Source organism: Homo sapiens, chromosome 5 (assembly GCF_000001405.40).
Source record: "Homo sapiens chromosome 5, GRCh38.p14 Primary Assembly".
NCBI lineage: Eukaryota > Metazoa > Chordata > Mammalia > Primates > Hominidae > Homo > Homo sapiens.
In genome coordinates, this window is record NC_000005.10 from 76,711,383 (window position 1) to 76,736,366 (window position 24,984).

At 43.8% G+C, this 24,984-nt stretch overlaps 1 protein-coding gene and 1 long non-coding RNA gene across 3 annotated transcripts, besides 4 other annotated features; both read left to right on the top strand.

The window, feature by feature from the left end:
* On the top strand, nucleotides 1,021-1,506 carry NCRUPAR (non-protein coding RNA, upstream of F2R/PAR1). The gene has a single exon (NR_028375.2). It is a non-coding gene; the product is annotated as a non-protein coding RNA, upstream of F2R/PAR1 (long non-coding RNA).
* Nucleotides 4,550-4,799: a silencer, noted in NCBI's record as "silent region_16106". NCBI's record gives its function as "represses an Ori minimal core promoter by ATAC-STARR-seq in GM12878 lymphoblastoid cells {active_cell/tissue: GM12878}" and the evidence as "EXISTENCE:reporter gene assay evidence [ECO:0000049][PMID:35858748]".
* Nucleotides 4,744-24,388, top strand: F2R (coagulation factor II thrombin receptor). Of its 2 annotated transcripts, NM_001311313.2 has the most exons (3): nucleotides 4,744-5,013; nucleotides 17,330-17,451; nucleotides 20,932-24,388. In NM_001311313.2, the coding sequence occupies exon 3, from the start codon at nucleotides 21,207-21,209 to the stop codon at nucleotides 22,119-22,121; it is 915 nt and encodes a 304-aa protein (NP_001298242.1). In that variant the 5' UTR covers nucleotides 4,744-5,013; nucleotides 17,330-17,451; nucleotides 20,932-21,206; the 3' UTR covers nucleotides 22,122-24,388. The 2 variants fall into 2 exon arrangements, with proteins under 2 accessions (NP_001298242.1, NP_001983.2); NM_001992.5 differs by lacking the exon at nucleotides 17,330-17,451.
* Nucleotides 6,593-7,093: an enhancer, noted in NCBI's record as "H3K4me1 hESC enhancer chr5:76013800-76014300 (GRCh37/hg19 assembly coordinates)". NCBI's record gives its function as "activates a minimal SCP1, AML or CMV promoter by ChIP-STARR-seq in naive H9 embryonic stem cells {active_cell/tissue: H9 hESC(naive)}" and the evidence as "EXISTENCE:reporter gene assay evidence [ECO:0000049][PMID:30033119]".
* Nucleotides 7,094-7,594: an enhancer, noted in NCBI's record as "H3K4me1 hESC enhancer chr5:76014301-76014801 (GRCh37/hg19 assembly coordinates)". NCBI's record gives its function as "activates a minimal SCP1, AML or CMV promoter by ChIP-STARR-seq in naive H9 embryonic stem cells {active_cell/tissue: H9 hESC(naive)}" and the evidence as "EXISTENCE:reporter gene assay evidence [ECO:0000049][PMID:30033119]".
* Nucleotides 21,925-21,974: a silencer, noted in NCBI's record as "silent region_16107". NCBI's record gives its function as "represses an Ori minimal core promoter by ATAC-STARR-seq in GM12878 lymphoblastoid cells {active_cell/tissue: GM12878}" and the evidence as "EXISTENCE:reporter gene assay evidence [ECO:0000049][PMID:35858748]".

Consider the following 24,984-nt stretch of genomic DNA (forward strand, 5'->3'; position numbering starts at 1 on the left):
AAAGCTCTTAAGAGGCCGGGTACGGTGGCTCACGCCTGTAATCCCAGCACTTTGGGAGGCCAAGGCGGGCAGATCACCTGAGGTCGGGTTTTAGGAACAGGGCGCCAAATCTGGCCATAAACTGGCCCAAAAACTGGCCATAAACAAAATCTCTGCAGCACTGTGACATGTTCGTGATGGCCATGACGCTCACGCTGGAAGGCTGTGGGTTTACTGGAATGAGCGCAAGGAACACCTGGCCCACCCAGGGCAGAAAACCGCTTAAGGCATTCTTAAACCACAAACAGTAGCATGAGTGATCTGTGCCTGGACATGTTCCTGCTGCAGATAACTAGCAAGAGCCATCCCTTTGTTTTGGCCCATCCCTTTATTTCCCATAAGTAATACTTTTAGTAAATGTTATGACTGGCTTGCTGTCAATAAATATGTGGGTAAATCTCTGTTCGAGGCTCTCAGCTCTGAAGGCTGTGAGATCCCTGATTTCCCACTCCACAATCTATATTTCTGTGTGTGTGTCTTTAATTCCTCTAGCACCGCTAGGTTAGGGTCTCCACCACCGAGCTGGTCTCGGCAGTCGGGAGTTCGAGATCAGCCTGACCAACATGGAGAAACCCAGTCTCTACTAAAAAAAATACAAAAATTAGCCGGGCATGGTGGCACATGCCTGAATCCCAGCTACTTGGGAGGCTGAGGCAGGAGAATCGCTCCAACCCAGGAGGCGGAGGTTGTGGTGAGCCAAGATCCGGCCGTTGCACTCCAGCCTGGGCAACAAGTGCAAAACTCCGTCTCAAAAAAAAAAAAAAAAAAGCTCTTAAGAGCACATAAACATAGGAACTTTGTGAAGTCTAAGGACAAAACAAAAAACAACATCACTAACAGACCATAAAATTAGAAATCAGTCACAAAAAGCCAGTCAAAATATCCAAGAATTTATGGTTGAAGATTGAATGAAATTGACAAAATATTTAGACCTGAATTTTATATATGCACATATCAAAACTTGCAAAATGTAGCTGATGTGGTCTTTTGAAGGAGAAGAGGTAAAAAATAATCAGTTCAAAAAATTATACTAAAGAGGCCGGGCGCGGTGGCTCACGCCTGTAATCCCAGCACTTCGGGAGGCCATGGCGGGCGGATCATGAGGTCAGGAGATCGAGACCAACCTGGCTAACACGGTGAAACCCCGTCTCTACTAAAAATACAGAAAAATTAGCCGGGCGTGGTGGCAGGCGCCTGTAGTCCCAGCTACTCAGGAGGCTGAGGCAGTAGAATGGCGTAAACCCAGGAGGCGGAGGTTGCAGTGAGCCGAGATCGCGCCACTGCACTCCAGCCTGGGCGATACAGCGAGACTCCGTCTCAAAAAAAAAAAAAAAAAAAATTATGCTAAAGAGTAAACTCAAAGAAAGTAGAGGAAAAGAATGAATTAAAAATCTGTGTTTATAAATAAAAATAAAAGTAACGGAGCAAAAAGACGGGCATTAGAAAATAGTCATTTCTGACCTCTGGTCAGATAAAGGGAAAAAAGCAAAAAATTAGCTATGTTAGGAATATAAATGGGGACAACACTACAGATAAAATAGTTTTAGAAGACTAAAATTTATTATATGTATACAAGGGAATAGTATACTATTTAAAAAGAATTAGATAAACATGTACCAAACAAGCCTCAAAAAATACAACTGGCAGAAATATTCCTAGAAGGAATCCTTTAGTCAATATGCACAAAGCATTTAAGCATTTCATTATTTTTGTTTTTTTTTTTTTTTTTGCTTTTGTTTTTGTTTTTTTGAGACAGAGTCTTGCTCTGTTGCCCAGACTGGAGTGCAGTGGTGCAATTTTGGCTCACAGCAAACTCTGCCTCCCAGGTTCAAGTGATTCTCCTGCGTCAGCCTCCCAAGTAACTGGGATTACAGGTGCACACCACCAAGCCCGGCTAATTTTTGTATTTTTAGTAGAGACGGAGTTTCTCTATGCTGGCCAGGCTGGTCTCTAACTCCTGACCTCAAGTGATTTGACCGCCTCAGTTTCTCAAAGTGCTGGGATTACAGGTGTGAGCCACTGCACCCAGCCTTCATTGTACGTCTTTTTGTCACTAGAGGTACATTTTGTTCTAACAACTAAGACCCCAAAGCATCCTTTTAAGCTTTATCGTTTTGTAAAATGGTTAAAAATAACATTTTCCACCAATGACACAGATAAAATTTTAAAATGTGGTGGTATTATTCCATTCTTATTTTAAGGATATACATATATGCAATTTGTATGTGGATATGATTTTTTGAATGGTGAACAGAAACTTAGTGGTCAGGTAGCTGGATGCGGTGGCTCATGCCTGTAATCCCAGCACTTTGGGAGGCTAAGGCGGGTGGATCACCTGAGTTCAGGAGTTTGAGGCCAACCTGGCCAATATGGTGAAACCCAGTCTCTACTAAAAATACAAAAAATTAGCCAGGCGCGGTGGTAGGCGCCTGTAATCCCAAGTACTCGGGAGGCTGAGGCAGGAGAATCGCTTGAACCCAGGAGACGGAGGTTGCTGTGAGCCGAGTCCGCGCCATTGCACTCCAGCCTGGGCAACAAGAGTGAAACTCCGCCTCAGGAAAAAAAAGAAAGAAAGAAAATAAGAAAGACAGAGAGAGAGAGAGAGGAAGGAAGGAAGAGAGGAAGGAAGGAAGGAAGAGAGGGAGGGAGGAAGGAAGGAAGGAAGGAAGGAAGGAAGGAAGGAAGGAAGGAGGGGAAACTTAGTGGTCAGATGGCAACTAGGGGAGGGGAGGCAGAAGGTAATTTATTTTTCATTTCATATCCTTCAACTATCAGAAATTTTGTCATATGTGTTTATATTTTCCACTGTGTTTCATTGATTCTAAAATGCCTTTTCTTCATAACCCTGAAATTGGAGTGTTTCTTACAATCATTGGTATGTCACATTTTTTTCTGGCTTGTGGTAATGGGTTAAAATGATAAATTGTAAAATCAATGACGTCTTAGGAATAATGAAAAATAGTTTAATAGTGAATGAAGAACTATGTAATTTTAACTGTTCACATTTACTCTTGGGTATGTTTCCAGAGGATAACTGAACGGGGATAGATTTTAAAAAGCTTTATTTAACTGGGTACTTCCGCAATTTAGTGATCAACTTCTGTGTACAACAAGGTACTGTCCTTTGAGGATGATGGGAGAATACAGGGAAGAACGAAATCGCCTCTGATCGTACTTTCTCCACGGATGTAAGTGTCCGGGCTCTAGTGGGGGAATGATACTCTTCGTGCGAAATTCACTTTTAAAAAAGGCTTAGAAAACTGACCACCGGCTCTCAGCTGCAGCTTATCAACCACAGAACTCCGAATATGCCCGCACATCAGTGCGCTGGGTTAAGAGGAGAAGGGGCTGCGGCTGAGCTTTCCTAGAAACAGCTATTTGGGGACCCATTTCCTGTTGGAGTCTGAAAGGCGCACGCACCAGAGCCAGTGGCAAAGCAACTTAAGCTGCAGGCTCCTCCTGCCCACCCCCAGCCGCGACGCCCCTGGGGGCCCTTAGCAGACTGCCAAGCGAGTGTCCCCGCCCTGTGCCTTGAATTTAGCCAAACTCCTTTAATATCAGGCCTGGCGCGGTGATTCACGCCTGTAATCCCCGCACTTTAGGAGGCTGAGGCAGGAGGATCGCTTGAGGCCAGCAGTGAAATTAGCCGGACATGGTGGCGCGCGCCTTTCTGTGGTCCCAGGTAATCCGGAGGCTGGGGCGAAAGGGTGGCCTGAGCCAGGGAGATCGAGGCTGCAGTGAGCCGTGTTGGCGCCACTGCACTCCAGCCTGGGCGACAGGGCAAGACCCTGCCTCAAAAACAAAACAAACTGTAATATCGTTCAAGAACGTGTGAAGGACACTTGGAAAGTTACCAGGCCATTTCTCTCCTGGGCGCCCGCGGCCCTAGAACGCCGGCCTCACCGGCAGACGCGCGCCCTCCTCCCAGATGCGCAGGTGACCCCGGCGGGCGGCGCGGGAAAGGGAAGAGCTCCGCGAGGCCGCGCGGGGGGGAAGCGGGAGAAGCCGCTCTTCCTATTCCACTCGCAGTCTGCGTGTGGGGGAAACGAGTGCCCGGCGTATGAAACGCCTAACTTCGCGAAATAAAGAGAGACGTATAAAAGTTCAAGAATTCTGTCCAGACTCAAGGGCCCTTTCTCATTTAGGGGCAACCCTGTCACTACATCATAAACTTTTAAATCCGTGATCCCCACGTTACAAAAGCAGAAGTCCCTTTTAGACTTTTAGCGAAAACTGAACTTTGCCGGTGTCCCACACGGAGGGAGGGAGGACGGGAGGCCACGCCAGGGCTGCGGGGCTGCAGGGCGTGGACGCATCCTGGCCGGGGCGTCCACTGTCGACGTCTCCACATCCCAGGAGGGTCGAGACGGCCGCGGGAAGCAGCCTGCGAGCCGTGCGGCCCCATTCCAAGGACCCCGCCAGTGTGAGTCACTGACAGCTTCGCGAATCAACGGTGCCCAGAGGAAAAAACTTCTCATTTGGACTTCTAGGCCCGGCAGTGGCCGGCGGCCAGGGCCCCCCAGTAGGGCAGGGCGGGGCGGGGCGGGGCGCACAGAGCCAGAGGGGCTTGCGAGCGGCGGCTGAGGGACCGCGGGGAGGGGGCGCCGAGCGGCTCCAGCGCAGAGACTCTCACTGCACGCCGGAGGGCGCCCTTCCTCGCTCGCGCCCGCGCGACCGCGCGCCCCAGTCCCGCCCCGCCCCGCTAACCGCCCCAGACACAGCGCTCGCCGAGGGTCGCTTGGACCCTGATCTTACCCGTGGGCACCCTGCGCTCTGCCTGCCGCGAAGACCGGCTCCCCGACCCGCAGAAGTCAGGAGAGAGGGTGAAGCGGAGCAGCCCGAGGCGGGGCAGCCTCCCGGAGCAGCGCCGCGCAGAGCCCGGGACAATGGGGCCGCGGCGGCTGCTGCTGGTGGCCGCCTGCTTCAGTCTGTGCGGCCCGCTGTTGTCTGCCCGCACCCGGGCCCGCAGGCCAGGTGAGAGATGCACGGGAATGGGGTGCGCGGGCGGAGGGACGCCGAGGGGAGACTGCGGGGGTCACTGTTGCGCCTTCTCCTCACCCCTGCCTCAGTTTCCTCCGAAAGCCAAACTGGCATTTGGGCTGAGATCTGGAGTTTTTTCCAGTCACGTTTAGGTGGGGCGTGCCACCCCCTTCGCGGGCCCAGCCGATGCCCCTTTGGACTCGATCTTGGAGGGTGCAGCCCGCCTGCCACGGGGTGTTGGATATGGAGGAGGATGGAGCGGAAGCCCCCTGGGGGAGCCTGCAGTCCTGCGTTGCACTTGTCATTGTGTTTCTCCCAGGACCACCCCCAAAAAGAAAAGCTCTCACGTTGCTCCACCAATAAACGTTTCGATCTTTAAAATATAAAGTGGCGAACCGCTGCCGCTGAAGTTTTGCTTTGTTGGAAGTTTTTTTCTTGCACATTTTACAGGCGAGAAAAGTGATGTAGAGAAAAGCCCAGGCAGTCCCTTGGCATGTTTAGCAGAGAATCAGTACCAGCAGCCCCCGGCCCGGCCTTGTGTCCAGGAGGTGCGCAGGGTGCGAGATATATGGTGACAATAGCAGAGGCTCCGCGTGGTGGCGGGGGAGGGGACATGGAGAGGATTTTGTTGTTACCTAGAACCCATTCCTTCTAAGTGAGTTGAAGAGAGAGATCCCTCCCCAGGACCGGGCTCCCTCGAACACTGTGGGATCCCAGTATTTCTTAACGAGATTTCTGATCCACTGCAAGAAGGTTGCTCCCCTAGAATATTTTCCCCACTAGTAGTCTATTTTTAAGTATCTGGCCACTTGACCAAATAAATAAATTTGATTAATTTATTTGGTCAAATATTTTCTGTATCCCTTTCCCCAAGAGCAGCACAGATGAGTTGTTTTTAGCCTGTAAAGGCGCTAATTAGAAAGTGAGAAAAGTGTTTTTGAATTTCCTAATAACAATAGTATTTTATAAGCTTTGAGCCATTTTTTTTACGCTGAAAGAAGTTCTAGCGGGTTTTCTTGTTATCGCTAAAAGAATGTGCACTCTATATTGCTCCCACACTCAAAAAAAAGTGTAGACACATCAAGATTAAGAGGTGACAAAGACATAGCATGTTCTCGCCTCTCTGTCTTTGTTCAGGGTGAGTTTTGAGATGCTTTTGGGAAAACTAAGAGCTCCAGACTGGGGCCCAGTGTTTAGCAGTAACTAGCCTGCCTGCAGATAAGTGAGCATTGTTGCCGAAAGTGTTTGAGAGAACACCGAGAACTCCTGAAAAATTGTTTGCGATGAGATATGATTTCACATACCATTATGTAATTTGCACAATGTAGTTTGAGGACACGCTCTTGAGAATCCAGTGTTTTGTTTGAGATTTGGATCATGGGGTGGAGAACAGAGCTTATAGAAATGCTGCACCCTTTCTCACAGTGGCCTCCCAGCAAGGTGTGTAGCCTCATTAGGGAGTGAAGTCAAAGCGTACTGGTTTCTGCCAAGCTTCTTACATCCTCATGGCAGGAGTGGTGCATGTTAATATGGACAGTGCTGGTGTAGACAGAAAGGCAGGTGGATGAACTTGGCTAGTTTATCAACACTGGATTCTGGAACCACTTTGGGAGGGAAAGAAGAAAGGAGTATGATAGAGGAAAAGGAGCGCTTGCTAAGTGCCATATTCCATGTCAAGCCCTGGGCCAGAAGGAATTTTCACTTGGATTGTCTCATTTCACCTTGTCAAAACACCTTGTTAAGGTGGGTATTTATCCCCTTTTGCTGATTCTGCAACTAAGACCCAGAGACAGCGGCTAAGCAAGTGGTGGCGGGTGGGGCAGGGAAGGGGCAGTCCACCCACCCTGGGTGCAAGCAATTAGGAATAAGTGGGGCTTTGTCTTTAGAAAATTTAAAATCACTAATAAAATCAACCCAAGATAGGTTTACTTTCTATTACCACCATGCATTGACAATTCTAAGCATTGTCTGTCATAAGGTAGTGGTGCTGGGACTCTGAGGCATCCAACAGTGCCTCCCATCCTTGAACCGCCACCGCTGTGATAGAGTTTATTGTCCAGGATTACCAGCTCTGTGTGCCAAGAGGGGCGGTGAAGCCCTCCCAGGGCTGGCCCTGACCACCAAGCTGAGCCTTCCTCCAGCACTTCCCGACTTTTTGTTCCCACTCATTTTGGCATTTCCTGCCTTGTCACTTTGTGTGTGTGTCTCATTCTCCCAACTAAGATTATAAAGTTTTATTTATCCCCATGGTGACTAAAACAAATGTTCACTCAGCAGATAGTTGTTGAGAAATGTGTAAATTCATCAACCAGTTTACATTCGTCTAGACAATTTAAGTGAGATGATATGTGATCATTAAAAGGGCCAACATCCAAGAGTAAAAGGTGATGTTTATAAATTTTATGGGGCTCTAGAGGGTTAAAGTGTTCAAGAATAGCTGGTGGTGACTATGACAGAGAGAACTTGGTGGGCAATTCCACTTGCTACCCTCCTACTCACAGAGTCAAGCCCAATTCTCTGGCATGGAATGAAGTGCTCCTCCCCTTGCAGGAGGGTCCCCAGCCCCTCTCCAGCCATCTCCTATTACTCACCCTCCAGTTCACCCAGCCCCATCCTCTAGATCCTCCCTTCAAGGAGCTATGCTTTCTCTGGCTTCTGTCCGCATGCCACTCCCTCTGGCCAGAATGCCCTCCCCATATCCCATACCCGCCACGTTCATGTTTAATTAAAAACAGCTACCCTCTGTGGAGTACTGACTACAGCTGACATCCTTCTTAGGGACGTTACAATACTATCTTATTTATTTCTCACAACAGCCCTTTGAGTAGATGTCATCCTCATTTTACTGGTTATAAAACAGAGACCCAGAATGGTTAAGTCACAAGTTGAGAAAGAGGTGGAATTGGGACTGGGTGCGGTGGCTCATGCCTGTAATCCCAGCACTTTGGGAGGCCAAAGCAGGGGGATCACTTGAGGCCAGGAGTTTGAGACCAGCCTGACCAACATGGTGAAACCCTGTCTCTACTAAAAATACAAAATTAGCTGGGTATGGTGGTGCACACCTGTAGTCACAGCTACTTGGGAGGCTGAGGCACCAGAATTGCCTGAACCTGGAAGGCAGAGGTTGCAGGGAACTGAGATTGTGCCACTGCACTCCAGTCTGAGCAACAGAGTGAGACTCTCTCTCAAAAAAAAAAAGAGGTGGAATTGGGAGTTGACCACAGGCCTGTCTCTCCGAAGTGCAGGCTTTCTCTAACACCCCCTATAGAAAGGAAGCCATCTAGACTCCCAGCACCTCTTACAGTAGAGAAGTAACCCCACTGTGCTCCCTAGTACAGTATGGATTTACCTATTTTTGATAATTCATCAAAATATAGAAGCAAAGTCTGTGCCCTATCGCCTTGGTAGCTCAGGCCCAGCACAGGGAGGTATTTAGTGAGCATTTATGCACGGACTGTGGTATTCTCTCATTTACTTTCGCTAACAGATGATAAGGCAGGCTCTGAAAAGATCCCTGCTCATGAATACACTAATTAATCAGATGTTACAAGAGATATTGCTAGTAAACCTAAACAGAAAGACAGAAAACTGAGCAGTGGTTCTACCGTAAGCAGACCAGAAAGCTCTATAAAGCCTGAAAGTCAGATTTCTTATGAGTCAGCAAGTAATTTTCTGCCCTACTATCTATCTATCTATCTATATCTAATAATTTTTAGTGGCTTTGCCTTTATTTTTATAGAACATACCAGCATAGCAGGTTCTCAGGGTCTGGGTGCAGTGGCTCACACCTGTAATCCCAGCACTTTGGGAACCCTAGGCCAGATGATCGCTTGAGACCAGCCTAGGCAACATAGTAAGACCCCATCTCTATTAAAAAAAATAATTAAAAAGTAGCCAGGCACTGTGGTGTGCACCTGTAGTCCCAGCACTTGGGAGACTGGGAGGATGGCCTGACCCAGGAGTTCAAGGTGGCAGTGAGCCATGGTCACGTGACTACACTCCAGCCTGGGCAACAGAGTGGGAGAGACGCTGTCTTCAAAATATTTAATAAATGAAAATTTTAAATTTAAATTAATCATTTAAATTTAAAAAATAAAATAATAAAATTGAGGTAGAATTCACATAACATAAAATTAACCATTTTAAAGTATACAATTCATTGGTATTTAGTACATTTACAGTGTACAATGTACACTGTAAACCCCTACCTACTTCCAAAATCCTGTCATTTCCCCGAAAGGAAACCAGTAAGCAGTCAGATCCCATTCTCCCTTCCCCTACCCCCAGGAACCACCAGTTTGCCTTTTTTCTCTATGGATTTACCTATTTTTGATATTTCATATCAATAGAATCATATAATATGTGGTCTTAGTGTCTGGGGAACTTAACTTTAGGTGGGTTAAAGTTGTTGTTGCTGTTTTTTTGAGACAGGGTCTAGGTGTCTTACTCAGGCTGGAGTGCAGAGGCACAAATTTGGCTCACTGCAACCTCTGCCTCCCAGGCTCAAGCTATCCTCCTAACTCAGCCTCCAGAGTAGCTGGGCTACAGGCACCTGCCACCACGCCTGGCTAATTTTTGTATTTTTAGTAGAGACGAGATTTTATCACACTGCCCAGGCTGTTCTCAAACTCCTGGGATCAAGCGATCCACCTACCTTGGCCTCCCAAAGTGCTGGAATTCTAGGCGTGAGCCACCATGCCCAGTCTTTAACTAGTTTTCGTGAGCACCTAGGCTCCCCTTCCATTGCGGATACTCACAAAAACATCCTTGTTAGAAGAGTTATTAGGACTCAGGGCCTTGGTTTATTTTTGACTATGATACTAGTGTTGAGGACTCCATAGTTTTACCATTCATAATTTTCTGTTTGTTTCCTTTTTTGCGATTTCTTTCATTCTGCCTTTTTCTTTCTCTTGCTTGTGCCTAAAACTGTCGTCATAAATAGCTCTGTCTATATACTGAGAATTTTTTTCTGGGCATGAGCTTTCACTTCCCCAGATACCGTCTCCCACACTGACCTTGTCGTGGTACTTGGAGGAAGCCACTTAAAGGGCCCTGACGGTCCTATATACATTATTTGCTTTCAAAAGTAAGTGGCCTTTTGAAACAACAGGAGTAATCTGCAATTTGCCCTTGAAAACACATTTATATAACTTTAGGAAAAGACATTATGTAATCTATTTATATTTCAAGTCTATGATGAATTAAAAATCAGGTATTATGGTATTGTAGAATAGTGTTTACCAGTACAGTATTTTCCTCTTTCGTAACCAACAGTAAGAACTGTAGAAACAACACTTCACATTCTGATATGGTAGGGATGTGTGTTTTCAATAAATATGTGTGGACAATCATAGTATATATGTAAACATGAAACAAAAGTTTTACCAAACAGTGCTCACCTTTACTGCATTGTATGCATTTTGATATTTTCCACAAACAGTGCTCACCTTTACTGCATTGTATGCATTTTGATATTTTCCACACTATATTCTATTTTTAATGCTTATTGCAATCTTGTGAATTGATTTCATAGCCATTGCTAAATCTATAACATAATTTAAAACATATTGCAGCAGCTACATGAATATTCCTATGGTAGCCAAATCAAAGGCCTTATTAGCTTTTCAGGAAGAGTTCTGTTTTCCTGGAACTGTTGTTTATTATTGTTCTTATCATGTCTAGAACCTAATTTATTTGAGTTCAGATATACAGACTGCAGAAGGACTTGGGCAGGGTTGGGCATGGGGACAGTTTTTATAGTACAACTCACAGTATTTTGTACAATACAAAGCTGTCCCCATCCCCAGCCCTGGGGAGGAATTGGTGATCATTGACATCCTTGACTGTGAATTAGTTTTCATTTTAGCTAGATGTCTTGTTGGAGAGTAGAGATCAGCATTCCCAAGACAGAGAGCTCAGGACCTGTAACTTTTCTTGGAGAACAGACCTGGAGAAATGGGGAAAGCCGGGGAACCTGAGTAGTTCCCGGGCAAGGCCTGCTAGCATCCTCACCCCACGTCAGGCTCTGGCCTCCAGGCTGCTCCAAGCAAGAGCCCACACACTTTCCTTATGTAGTCTTCATGCCTGCTGTGGCGTTGGGTACACCTGCGTTTACTTTCCTGCAACTTCCCTTCTCCCAGCTTCCTCTTAGGCTTGCTTTCCTATGCTTCCAGAGGAGTACCTGCTCCAGGACATGGAATGGGAGGAGAGGAGGCCTCTGATATTGGCAGCTTCTTCTGAACCCCAGTCAGTCAAGAATTCTACCTTTAGGTTGGGCACGGTGGCTCATGCCTGTAATCCCAGCACTTTGGGAGGCTGAGGCGCAGATCACTTAAGGTCAGGAGTTGGAGACCAGCTTGGCCAACATGGTGAAACCCTGTCTCTACTAAAAATACAAAAATTAGCCGGGCATGGTGGTGCACAACTGTCATCCCAGCTACTCAGGAGGCTGAGGCAGGAGAATCTCTTGAACCCAGGAGGCAGAGGTTGCAGCAAGCCAAGATCGTGCCACTGCACTCCAGCCTGGGAGACAGAGTGAGACTCTGTATCAAAAAAAAAAAAAAGAATTTTGTCTTTAATTCTGCTTTTTCTGTAGCAGAGATTTTTGTTCACTTACTGCTCTTGCATCTGCTCCATCTAGAACAGTGTTTTAAAGATGTATTTTTCTGTTTTGTCCTTGAATATCTCCCTGCTATCTCTCTCCTGTGTGTAAGGACCAAGTTGTTGGCATGTGTGGTTGGTGTGCAGCCAAAGTCAGTAGGACTCCAGAATTCCCAAGCTTTGGGCATCATCACGTTAAGCTAGCCATTCACATGTCCACATACTGCCTACTGTAGCTAAAAGGATGGGCAGATTCATTTGTTTGGTGACATGCAAAGAGAAAAAGATGGTACTCTTTTAGAAGTAGGTCATGAATCACAAGTTTTTAAGGAGAGAATAGCGTGGAGTGGTCAAAAGGTATGACCTTTGGAGCTGGGCAGACCTAGGTTCAAACCCTGGCTCCTCTACTTCATAGCTGTGTGACTTTGGATTAGTTACTTAGCCTCTCTGTGCCTCCATGTTGTCATTTATAAAATGGTAGTTATAATGCTCATGTCATAGAAATGTTAGAATTATATGAACTAAGGCAAGTGAAGTATCTGGCACATAGTAGGTGCTCAAAAAGATGGTAAGGTTTTTTCATACACCAATGCTTCCATATTCCAGAAAAGCTTTTGAAGAGTTGATACCAAATAAATTATCTAAATATAAGACAATCTTCACACAAGCATGCAAGAACATTTTCCCCTTCAGAACTAGGACAAAAGAAAAAAGCAAAAACCCTTGCCCTTAACTTCTAGTGGCAAATAAACATGCATACAGTATTTGTTTGTTTTTTTAACTTTTATTATGGGATTTTTCAAACATACCCAAAAATGAACAGTATAGTTACTCCCCATACCCATCATCCAGCTTCAACATTATTTACATGTCACCAATCTTGTTTTATCTAAACCCTCAAGTTTCCTCCTCTCCCAACTGTATAATTTTAAAGCAAATCCCAGATATCATATTATGTCATTCATAAAAACATCAGTAAGCATCCTTAGAGATTAGAACTCTTTTTTCCACATAACCACAATACAATTATAATACCTAAAAAATGAACATTTCCTTCTGTTTTTTTGTTTGTTTGTTTGTTTTGAGACACATTCTTACTCTGTTGCTAAGGCTGGAGTTCAGTAGCACAATCATGGCTCATCCACAGTCTCAACCTCCTGGGCTCAAGCAATCCTCCTGCCTCAGACTCCAAAGTAGCTGGGACTACAGGCACACACCACCACGACCAGCTAATTTTTGTATTTATTTTAATAGACATAGGATTTTGCTGCATTGCCCAGGCTGGTCTGGAACTCCTGGGTTCAATCAGTCCTCCTGCCTCGGCTTCCCGAAGTGCTGGCATTACAGGCGTGAGCCACCGTGCCCGGCCTAACAATTCCTTAATATCATCTGATAATCAGTCAGTGTTCATATTTACCTTATTGTCTCATAAATACCTTTTAACAGTTGGTTTGTTTGAATCAGGTTCAAACAAGGTCCACCATTACATTTTAATCTGTAACTGCCCCCCCACCCCTTTTTTATTGCTATTTATTTGTCAAAGAAACTAAGCCATCTGTCTTAGTTCTTATTTGTCAAAGAAACTAAGCCATCTGTCTTTTCTACATACTGGATCTGGCTGACTGCGTCTTCAACTCATGGATCTTAACATGTATGAAATGTTTCAATTCATTTCCATCATTATTCTTTTGATGGTCAAATTGGTGATCAACATGTCACATCTTTGGTCAGTGGGAGCCCTTTGAGATTGACTCCAGCGTCTTTTTGACCTAACCCTGATATTCTTTGAAGATGTTCAATGTTCATCTTGTGTATTTCCTACCCCAGATCTGGAACTAGTCATTTCTTTAAGAAGCCCCAGTTCTTTTCATTGGAAAATGGTGTTTGTTTGAATCTGAGGGAGTAAAACATTCCAGTAATGCTGGTGTTTTCCACTTGACAGAGTTAGTGTGATTCTGTTATTTTCCTGTCCTCCTCTTCATTTCTCTTTAGCCTGTAGTGTTGTTTCAACTCTTGTGCTCTGTGTGGGAATGTGAGCAAAGTCCTGGGACTTCTGCTTTGTTAACTCTGAAAAAGCATGAGCCCCGAAGGGCAGAACTGTGAGTCAAAACCATGTGTGTCATGGAATGCTGGTGTGGTATAAATCCCAGGATCAAATGCGACATTCAGAGATCCTCTAGTCACCCCTCTGCTTCCAGGACAGATCTCATCACAGTCAGAAAACGTGTTGCCTAACTCACTAATTTTTAAAAATCGCCACAGTTAAAGAGTCCGTATTTAAACTATTTAATAATTTGCTGTATTCGATAACAAAACTACTCTAGAGCAATTTAGAAGAGCCTAAATTAAGTGAAACTTAGCAAATCGTATGAGAACTGAATTCAGGACCTCTGCTGCCTTTTTTGTGAAACCATAGCTTAACCAAAAAAAAAAACAGAGATGAATGATAAGAGATTTGGGCACCTTCACAAGCACTTTCTCCTTGACCTGAGTTGTGCTAGGACTGGAGGAAAAGCGAGATACTTAAACTCAAATTTCAGCCTAAGGGTCTTGAGCTAGTTGGAATTGTCTAGTCACCTTGCATTGGTTTTGTCCTTTCTTTGATGCTGGTATATACTACATTTTTTCTTTTCTTTTTTTTTCCGACATTCTTTAATTTCACAAAAACCAGAATATCAAACCCATAGTATCAAGAAAAGGTAACACCTTAGGCAGCGATATTTAACCAAGGGATTATACATTCTTCCTGAGCTCTAGCCTATAAAAATTTCATGTTTCCACAAGTATAATGTTCCTGTCGGAAGTACCGTCTGCCTGAGGCCTACCCAGAGAAGATGTTTTTTAAAACAAGTACTTACTGCCTAAGTACTAAATACAGAGTAAAGTCTAGTGACAGTTTTATTTTCAGACTAAGTGATAGTATCTGAAGAGCTTAGTTGTATTTATTAGTTTTCACATTGTGTCAGTCTCTCAGGTGTCATCTTGATTCATGTATGTAAGTATGCATGTTCATGTCCACTTTTTCCCCTCTGTGCATCACAAAAGCCCATAATCTGGCCAGGCTTCCAAAACTGCAGAGGAGAATTGCATTATTTTAAGGTTCCTTGGCCAGGTGCAGTGGCTTATGCCTGTAATCCCAGCACTTTGGGAGGCTGAGGTGGGTGGATCACTTGAGGCCAGGAGCATGAGACTAGCTGGCAAGCATGGTGAAACCCCATCTCTACTAAAAATACAAAAATTAGCTGGGCAGCCGGGCGCGGTGGCTCACACCTGTAATCCTAGCACTTTGGGAGGCCGAGGTGGGTGGATCACGAGGTCAGAAGATAGAGACCATCCTGGCTAACACGGTGAAACCCCATTTCTTCTAAAAATACAAAAAATTAGCCGGGCGCGGTGGCAGGCACCTGTAGTCCCAGCTACTAGGGAGGCTGAGGCAAGAGAATGGCGTGAACCCGGGAGGTGGAGTTAGCAGTGAGCCGAGATAGAGATAGCGCCACTGCAGTCCGGCCTGGGCGAAAGAGCGAGACTCTGTCTCAAAAAAAAAAAAAAATTAGCTGGGCATGGCGGTGCGTGCTTGTAATCCCAGCTACTTGGGAGGCTGAGGCAGGAGGATTGCTTGAACTGGGGAGGCAGAGGTTGCAGTGAGCCAAAATCGCACCACTGCTCTCCAGCTTGGGTGACAGAGCAAGACTCCATCTCAAAAAAAAATTGGTTCCTCTAGATCAGCATTTTTGCATATGCATGTTTTTGTGATATTAAAGTGCCAGAACCACAAACAAAAAAAATTAAAAATAAAAAAAAATGTTTAAGTGCCAGAAGCCATTCATTCTTTTCTTTCAGCACCCACACACTCATTGTGATCTTGAGAACAGCCTCACATCCACAGGGTCTGTTGGTACCAAGGTCAGGCTTCTGTGTGACTGGGGCAAGGTGAACACAGAGTAAGTTACATGCATTGCAAAGGTAAGAGAGTGATACTTCCAGAAAAGATTGTGAATTCAAAATTTGATTTATAGCTCTGAACCCTAGAGCTATATAATATACAACTTGTTCATTCCCTCATTGTACTAAAAAACTATAAACATTGCTAAGTAGGAGGGAAGATGAACCTAGATTTCCTTTTAACTTAATTAAGTGAGCAAACAATTGGGTATAAAAGCACACTACATGGAAGTGGGAGAGGAAGGATAATAGTAATTTCTTAAACTGCTTAATCGTTATGGTTTCCAAAGTGAATGTATGTCCTGTTTCACACGGGATGCTCCAGTTGCCAGATTTGTAGGCCAGACAGGAATTAGAATTCCATTTTAATGATTCTGAGCTTAATTCAGAGAAGTTAAGTGATCCCTGAACAGAGTCAATATTAGAATACAAATATGTGCCTACCACATGCAGGGCACAGGGTACTGGAGGTTCAGAGATTAACAGGAACAGTTCTTACCCTTAAGGATCAATGTAGACACAAGTGTGTATTCACATTCATCACTGGAGACATTCATTCCTTCCCTGTGACAGATCTCCTGCCAGGCCACCCCTTCATTGTCTGGAGACCCTCTCCCAACTTTGCTTAGGTAGCTTGACCTCAACCCTACACTACCAGGCTCTGCTCTGCTGTCTCTGAGTTGGTACTACTCTAGCTTTGCTCTTCATTTTGGAAATAGATGCCAACATATTGTATTTTATTTTCTATTTCTAGAATTTCCACTTGGTAGTTCTTTGCTGATATTTCCTATTTTCAGTTCATTTCTATAAAATATTTTTCTTTTTTTTTTTTTTTGCACATGGTTGTAATACATTCTTCAAAATCCTTATCTGCTAATTCCAACATCTGGGTCAACTTGAGGTTGGTTTCCGCTCACTGTCTTTTTACTTAAGACTGGGTCACTTTTTTTTTTTTTTTTTTAGAGACAGAGTCTCACTCTGTTGCCCAGGCTGGAGTACAATGGTGTGATGATACCTCACTGTAGCCTCGATCTCCCAGGCTCAACTTGTCCTCCCACCTGGGCTTCCCAAAGTGTTGAGATTACAGGTGTGAGCCACCACACCTGGCAGCCCCCTTTTTCTTTTATTTGACAAAAAATTATATATATTTATAGTGTATAACATAATGTTTTGAAATATGCATAACTTGTGAGATGGCTAAATCAAACTTATAACATGTATTACCTCAAATACTTATCATTTTTTGTGGTGAGACCACTTAAAGTCTACTCTCTTAGCAATTGTCAAGTATACAACACATTGTTATTAACTATAGTCACCGTATTATACAAGAGATTTTTCTAACTAATTCCTTTTAACAGAAATTTTGTACCCTTTGACCAATGTCTCCCCAGTCTACCCTACCCACCCATCCAACCCCAGCCTCTACTAACCACCATTCTCTTCTCTGCTTCCATGAGTTCAACTGTTTTCGATTCCACATATAAGTGAAATCATGCTATATTTGTCTTTCGGTGCCTGCCATATTTCACTTAACATTATGCCCTCTCGGCTCATCCATGTTGTTGCAAATGACAGAATTTCCTTCTTTTTTAAGGCTGAATAGTATTCCACTGTGTATATACATCATATTTTTTATTCATTCATTCATTCATCAGTGGATACCTAGTTTGATTCCATAACTGGGCTATTATAAATAATTCTGCAATGAACATGAGATTGCAGCTATTGACATCCTGGTCTTTTTTTTTTTTTTTTTTTTTTTGAGATGGGGTCTCGCTCTGTCGGCCAGGCTGGAGTGCAATGGCGCAATCTCAGCTCACTGCAACCTCCGCCTCCTGCGTTCAAGCAATTCTCCTGCCTCAGCCTCCCGAGGAGCTGGGATTATAGGTATGCGCTACCAAGCCTGGCTAATTTTTGTAATTTTAGTAGAGACAGGGTTTTGCCATGTTGGCCAGGCTGGTCTCAAACTCCTGACCTCAGGTGATCCACCCACCTTGGCCTCCCAAAGTGCTGGGATTACAGGCGTGAGCCACCGTGCCCAGCCAGCATCCTAATTTTATTTCCTTTGGATGTATGCCCAGCAGTGGAATTGCTGTATTATATAATAGTTCTATTTTTAGTTTTAGAGGAACCTTCATACTGTTTTTCGTAATGGCTATGCCAATTTAAATTCCCACCATCAGTATAGATGGGCTTCCTTTCCCCGTATCCTCACCAACACTTGTTATCTGTCATCTTTTTGATAATATCCATTCTAACAGGTATGAAGTGATAACTCATTGTGGTTTTAATGTTCATTTCCCTGATTAGTGATGTTGAGCATTTTTTCATATACTTGTTGGCCATTTGTATGTCTTCTTTTGAAAAATGTCTATTCAGATCCTTTGTCCATTTTTAAATCAGGTGATTTGTTATCTTGCTGTTGAGTTATAGGAGTTCCTTATATATTTTGGATATTAACCCTTTATCAGACGTATGGTTTGCAAATATTTGCTTTCATTTCATAAATTTTCTCTTCACTGTTGATTGTTTCCTTTGCTGTGCAGAAGCTTTTTACTTTGATACAGTCCCAGTTGTCTACTTCTCCTTTTATTGCCTGTGCTTTTATGGTCATTATAAAAAATTACTGCCCAGACAATGTCATGAAGCTTTTCCTCTATGTTTTCTGCTAGTAGTTTTACAGTTTCAGGTCTTATGTGTAAACCATTAATCCATTTAAGTTGGTTGTTGTATATAGTGTGAGAGAAGGGGGACAAGACGTCCAGAGTTTATCACTTTTGTGTATATTGGTTGGATCTGGTGATAACGATTTGGCTCTATGTCCCCACCCAAATCTCAACTTGTAGCTCCCATAATTCCCATGTGTTGTAGGAGGGACCCAGTAGGAGATGATTGAATCATGGAGACGGGTCTTTCCTGTGTTGTTGTCATGATAGTAAAATGGGTCTCTCAAGATCAGATGGTTTTAAAAACAGGAGTTTCCCTGCACAAGCTCTCTCTTTGCCCGCTGCCATCCAAGTAAGATGTGACTTGCTCCTCCTTACCTTCTGCTATGATTATGAGGCCTCCCCAGCCATGTGGAACTGTAAGTCCAATAAACCATTTTCTTGTATAAATTACAGGAAAAAAGACTCTGGATTTTGTTATATTCCTTCAAAGAGTGTTGGTGTTTTTGCTTTAGCAGCCAATTAATTTGGTTTTACTCAAGCAGCAGACTCTTTCTCTCTTGAGCAGAAGCTTAAATATCACTTCAGTTCTTTTATCTTTAGCAGAGGTGCTTCTCATCTTTCCTACAAATGCATAGTTCAAGGGTCAGCCAAACCCTAGGACAGAAGTTATACTGAAATTTAGGGCTCCCCCTCTCTGACTTTTTCCTTTCCAGGATTCTCTCCTAACTTTCCAGTGACTGTGATTGCCCTGAACTCTGTCCTCTGGTTCTGTAGGCCAAAAAGACTACGGATTTTCTATCTGGGTTTTAGTCACCTTTTATGTTATATAGGCACTGCTGTTATATAGGAAAAACCAAACTATTTTCCCCAAACTGTTTTCTCTTACCCAGCACTTCACTCAATCCTTCTGACACCGTATGTCTGGAGCTTGTTTCTCCACATACCAAGCAACCAATTCTCCTGCAGATTCTCCAGTGGACACCAGCTGGGTATCCTTGAATATAATTCAATTCTGGACACTATCTACCTCTAATATAACTCAATTCTGACACTATCTATCTACCTGGAGATAGAGTCAGATTCCACAGATTAAGGGCTCAGTTTCACAACGCTGCCTTCCACTTCAAATGGCAGTCATAAGTCTGGGCCTCCAGACTTCTGACCACACTATACATTGGGAGTTCCTAAGGCCCCCTGCTCAGATTCGATTAATTTGCTAGCATGATTCACAGAACTCAGGGAACCACTTTACTTACTTTTATCCATTCGTTATAAAGAAAATTACAGAGGATACAGATGAACAGCCACATGGTAGAGATGCATAGGGCAGCGATTGTGGGAAGGAGCACAGAGTTTCCATGCCCTCTCTTGGGCACTACCTTCCAGGAACCTCCATGTGTTCACCTATTTTTGGTTGATACTCCAAAAACCTTGGTTGGTCTGGCATGAGTGGCCAAGAACATCGGCTGCTCTGCTGACCTGCTCAGGAAAGAAGTAGAAGAATGACTGAGATGATGGGTACCTTGTGACTATGTTAGGAGATAACCCCAGGGATTGTGGTTTGGACCCAGATATAGTGAGAGATTTCTACATTCTCCTGTGTAAGCAAACTAAAGACTGTAGAGGAAAACTACTGTCATGGACATTGGCCGTAGAATTGGGAGTCCTGAATCCCATTATTAATTTGCCTCTAACTCCAAAACCTTTAAGAAATCCCCTCTGGTGGCACGTGCCTGTAATCCCAGCTACTCACGAGGCTGAGGCAGGAGAATTCCTTGAACCCCGGAGGCGGAGGTTGCGGTGAGCCGAGATCGCGCCACTGTGCTCCAGCCTGGGCAACAGAGTGAGACTGTGTCTCAGAAAAAAAAAGAAAGAAAAAGAAATCCCCTCTACTTTTTTTTTTTTTTTAATTTCTATTTATTTTTATTTTTTGAGACGGAGTCTCACTCTGTCGCCCAGGTTGGAGTGCAGTGGTGTGATCTTGGCTCACTGCAACCTCTGCTGCCCAGGTTCAAGCGATTCTTCTGCCTCAGGCTCCCAAGTAGCTGGGATTACAGGTGCATGCCACCGCACCTGGCTAATTTTTGTGTTTTTAGTAGAGATGGGGTTTCACCATCTTGGCCAGGCTAGTCTTGAACTCCTGACCTTGTGATCCACCCACCTCGGACTCCCAAAGTGCTGGGATTACAGACGTGACCCACTGTGCCCAGCCTAAATCCCCTCAACTTTCTATGTGGATTTTTCCATTGAAAAGGGACAGGTTTCATGGGATGACTGCAGACTAAATGGAGAAAGTGTGCACATGAAGGTATGCGGAGGAAAGAGAAGTCATGGAAGCTGGGAGTGATTTGTTTATATAGACAGTGGCTAGCGTGGAAATCAATGATTGATCCCTTTATGTCAAGTACTCAGCCTTTCCTAATGTCTTCAGGGTAGATCTCTGAAAACCTATCATTCACCTTTGTCCCTTTGAGGGGCAGAGTTTAGGAAGTATTGCTTATATCAAGACAAATGTTTCACAGTATTTTGAGTTGGCTTATTCTCTAATAAAGTCTATTTGTGCATTATCTGCTCTTTACCACCCACTCTCCTAGTAAGAAAACATAAACAAAAGTAAAATATGCTCTCTGCTTGTCGCTTTTGCCTTGTTGATGCGTTCACTTTTTACATTTAAAATTTTTTTAATTTTATTTTTCAGAATCAAAAGCAACAAATGCCACCTTAGATCCCCGGTCATTTCTTCTCAGGAACCCCAATGATAAATATGAACCATTTTGGGAGGATGAGGAGAAAAATGAAAGTGGGTTAACTGAATACAGATTAGTCTCCATCAATAAAAGCAGTCCTCTTCAAAAACAACTTCCTGCATTCATCTCAGAAGATGCCTCCGGATATTTGACCAGCTCCTGGCTGACACTCTTTGTCCCATCTGTGTACACCGGAGTGTTTGTAGTCAGCCTCCCACTAAACATCATGGCCATCGTTGTGTTCATCCTGAAAATGAAGGTCAAGAAGCCGGCGGTGGTGTACATGCTGCACCTGGCCACGGCAGATGTGCTGTTTGTGTCTGTGCTCCCCTTTAAGATCAGCTATTACTTTTCCGGCAGTGATTGGCAGTTTGGGTCTGAATTGTGTCGCTTCGTCACTGCAGCATTTTACTGTAACATGTACGCCTCTATCTTGCTCATGACAGTCATAAGCATTGACCGGTTTCTGGCTGTGGTGTATCCCATGCAGTCCCTCTCCTGGCGTACTCTGGGAAGGGCTTCCTTCACTTGTCTGGCCATCTGGGCTTTGGCCATCGCAGGGGTAGTGCCTCTGCTCCTCAAGGAGCAAACCATCCAGGTGCCCGGGCTCAACATCACTACCTGTCATGATGTGCTCAATGAAACCCTGCTCGAAGGCTACTATGCCTACTACTTCTCAGCCTTCTCTGCTGTCTTCTTTTTTGTGCCGCTGATCATTTCCACGGTCTGTTATGTGTCTATCATTCGATGTCTTAGCTCTTCCGCAGTTGCCAACCGCAGCAAGAAGTCCCGGGCTTTGTTCCTGTCAGCTGCTGTTTTCTGCATCTTCATCATTTGCTTCGGACCCACAAACGTCCTCCTGATTGCGCATTACTCATTCCTTTCTCACACTTCCACCACAGAGGCTGCCTACTTTGCCTACCTCCTCTGTGTCTGTGTCAGCAGCATAAGCTGCTGCATCGACCCCCTAATTTACTATTACGCTTCCTCTGAGTGCCAGAGGTACGTCTACAGTATCTTATGCTGCAAAGAAAGTTCCGATCCCAGCAGTTATAACAGCAGTGGGCAGTTGATGGCAAGTAAAATGGATACCTGCTCTAGTAACCTGAATAACAGCATATACAAAAAGCTGTTAACTTAGGAAAAGGGACTGCTGGGAGGTTAAAAAGAAAAGTTTATAAAAGTGAATAACCTGAGGATTCTATTAGTCCCCACCCAAACTTTATTGATTCACCTCCTAAAACAACAGATGTACGACTTGCATACCTGCTTTTTATGGGAGCTGTCAAGCATGTATTTTTGTCAATTACCAGAAAGATAACAGGACGAGATGACGGTGTTATTCCAAGGGAATATTGCCAATGCTACAGTAATAAATGAATGTCACTTCTGGATATAGCTAGGTGACATATACATACTTACATGTGTGTATATGTAGATGTATGCACACACATATATTATTTGCAGTGCAGTATAGAATAGGCACTTTAAAACACTCTTTCCCCGCACCCCAGCAATTATGAAAATAATCTCTGATTCCCTGATTTAATATGCAAAGTCTAGGTTGGTAGAGTTTAGCCCTGAACATTTCATGGTGTTCATCAACAGTGAGAGACTCCATAGTTTGGGCTTGTACCACTTTTGCAAATAAGTGTATTTTGAAATTGTTTGACGGCAAGGTTTAAGTTATTAAGAGGTAAGACTTAGTACTATCTGTGCGTAGAAGTTCTAGTGTTTTCAATTTTAAACATATCCAAGTTTGAATTCCTAAAATTATGGAAACAGATGAAAAGCCTCTGTTTTGATATGGGTAGTATTTTTTACATTTTACACACTGTACACATAAGCCAAAACTGAGCATAAGTCCTCTAGTGAATGTAGGCTGGCTTTCAGAGTAGGCTATTCCTGAGAGCTGCATGTGTCCGCCCCCGATGGAGGACTCCAGGCAGCAGACACATGCCAGGGCCATGTCAGACACAGATTGGCCAGAAACCTTCCTGCTGAGCCTCACAGCAGTGAGACTGGGGCCACTACATTTGCTCCATCCTCCTGGGATTGGCTGTGAACTGATCATGTTTATGAGAAACTGGCAAAGCAGAATGTGATATCCTAGGAGGTAATGACCATGAAAGACTTCTCTACCCATCTTAAAAACAACGAAAGAAGGCATGGACTTCTGGATGCCCATCCACTGGGTGTAAACACATCTAGTAGTTGTTCTGAAATGTCAGTTCTGATATGGAAGCACCCATTATGCGCTGTGGCCACTCCAATAGGTGCTGAGTGTACAGAGTGGAATAAGACAGAGACCTGCCCTCAAGAGCAAAGTAGATCATGCATAGAGTGTGATGTATGTGTAATAAATATGTTTCACACAAACAAGGCCTGTCAGCTAAAGAAGTTTGAACATTTGGGTTACTATTTCTTGTGGTTATAACTTAATGAAAACAATGCAGTACAGGACATATATTTTTTAAAATAAGTCTGATTTAATTGGGCACTATTTATTTACAAATGTTTTGCTCAATAGATTGCTCAAATCAGGTTTTCTTTTAAGAATCAATCATGTCAGTCTGCTTAGAAATAACAGAAGAAAATAGAATTGACATTGAAATCTAGGAAAATTATTCTATAATTTCCATTTACTTAAGACTTAATGAGACTTTAAAAGCATTTTTTAACCTCCTAAGTATCAAGTATAGAAAATCTTCATGGAATTCACAAAGTAATTTGGAAATTAGGTTGAAACATATCTCTTATCTTACGAAAAAATGGTAGCATTTTAAACAAAATAGAAAGTTGCAAGGCAAATGTTTATTTAAAAGAGCAGGCCAGGCGCGGTGGCTCACGCCTGTAATCCCAGCACTTTGGGAGGCTGAGGCGGGTGGATCACGAGGTCAGGAGATCGAGACCATCCTGGCTAACACGGTGAAACCCGTCTCTACTAAAAATGCAAAAAAAATTAGCCGGGCGTGGTGGCAGGCACCTGTAGTCCCAGCTACTCGGGAGGCTGAGGCAGGAGACTGGCGTGAACCCAGGAGGCGGACCTTGTAGTGAGCCGAGATCGCGCCACTGTGCTCCAGCCTGGGCAACAGAGCAAGACTCCATCTCAAAAAATAAAAATAAATAAAAAATAAAAAAATAAAAGAGCAAACTATTTCCAAATACCATAGAATAACTTACATAAAAGTAATATAACTGTATTGTAAGTAGAAGCTAGCACTGGTTTTATTAATTTAGTGACTATTCATTTTATCTAAATCAGTGAAGATTTACTGTCATTGTTTATTAGTCTGTATATATTAAAATATGATATCATTAATGTACTTACAAAATAGTATGTCACTGTTTTTATGTTCATTCTTAAAAACATAACCTGTATTAATAAATGTGAACATTTGCTTGGTATCTCTTTGGAACAAATTAGTATTATATCTTTCTGGTCCTGGCACACTTTAAGGGTTTAACTGAAGAGCATTTAATGAAGAGGTGATTTACAAAGGTGTAGACAGGGTTAAGGGAACCAACGGGGACTGGTGAAGCACCCCCCAGAGACTAGCAATCAGGGGAAGCCATTACTGCCAAGGCCCAGGTACAGGAGGGAACACACTGACGCCTCTCCCTCACCCTCTGATCTCTTGGGAGGCCTCCCCTTGATCCTAATCTTAACCCAATACCCAGAGTGAAGTAGTCCATAAAGATCAGCTTCCTTTGCCGTGGAGAAGGGATCTGGAAGAACAAATGCAAGGAAAAAATAAAACAAACAGCACCATTTCTGCCAAAGACATTGAGTGATTAGCTCTCTCTCTCTCTCTCAATCCCTTCTTAAGAAAATTTAAGCTTATTGAGAATATATTCAAATTTCTGAGTTATAGACATCATGGGTAGTGTCTGCAGTTCTTCCCTAGTGAGAGAGAAATTAAATGTCAGAGCAGAAAGGAAATCCGTAAAATGGCTGTGCTGTCTTCTCTGGCTGAATGACAGTCCTTTGCTGTCTAGCACTC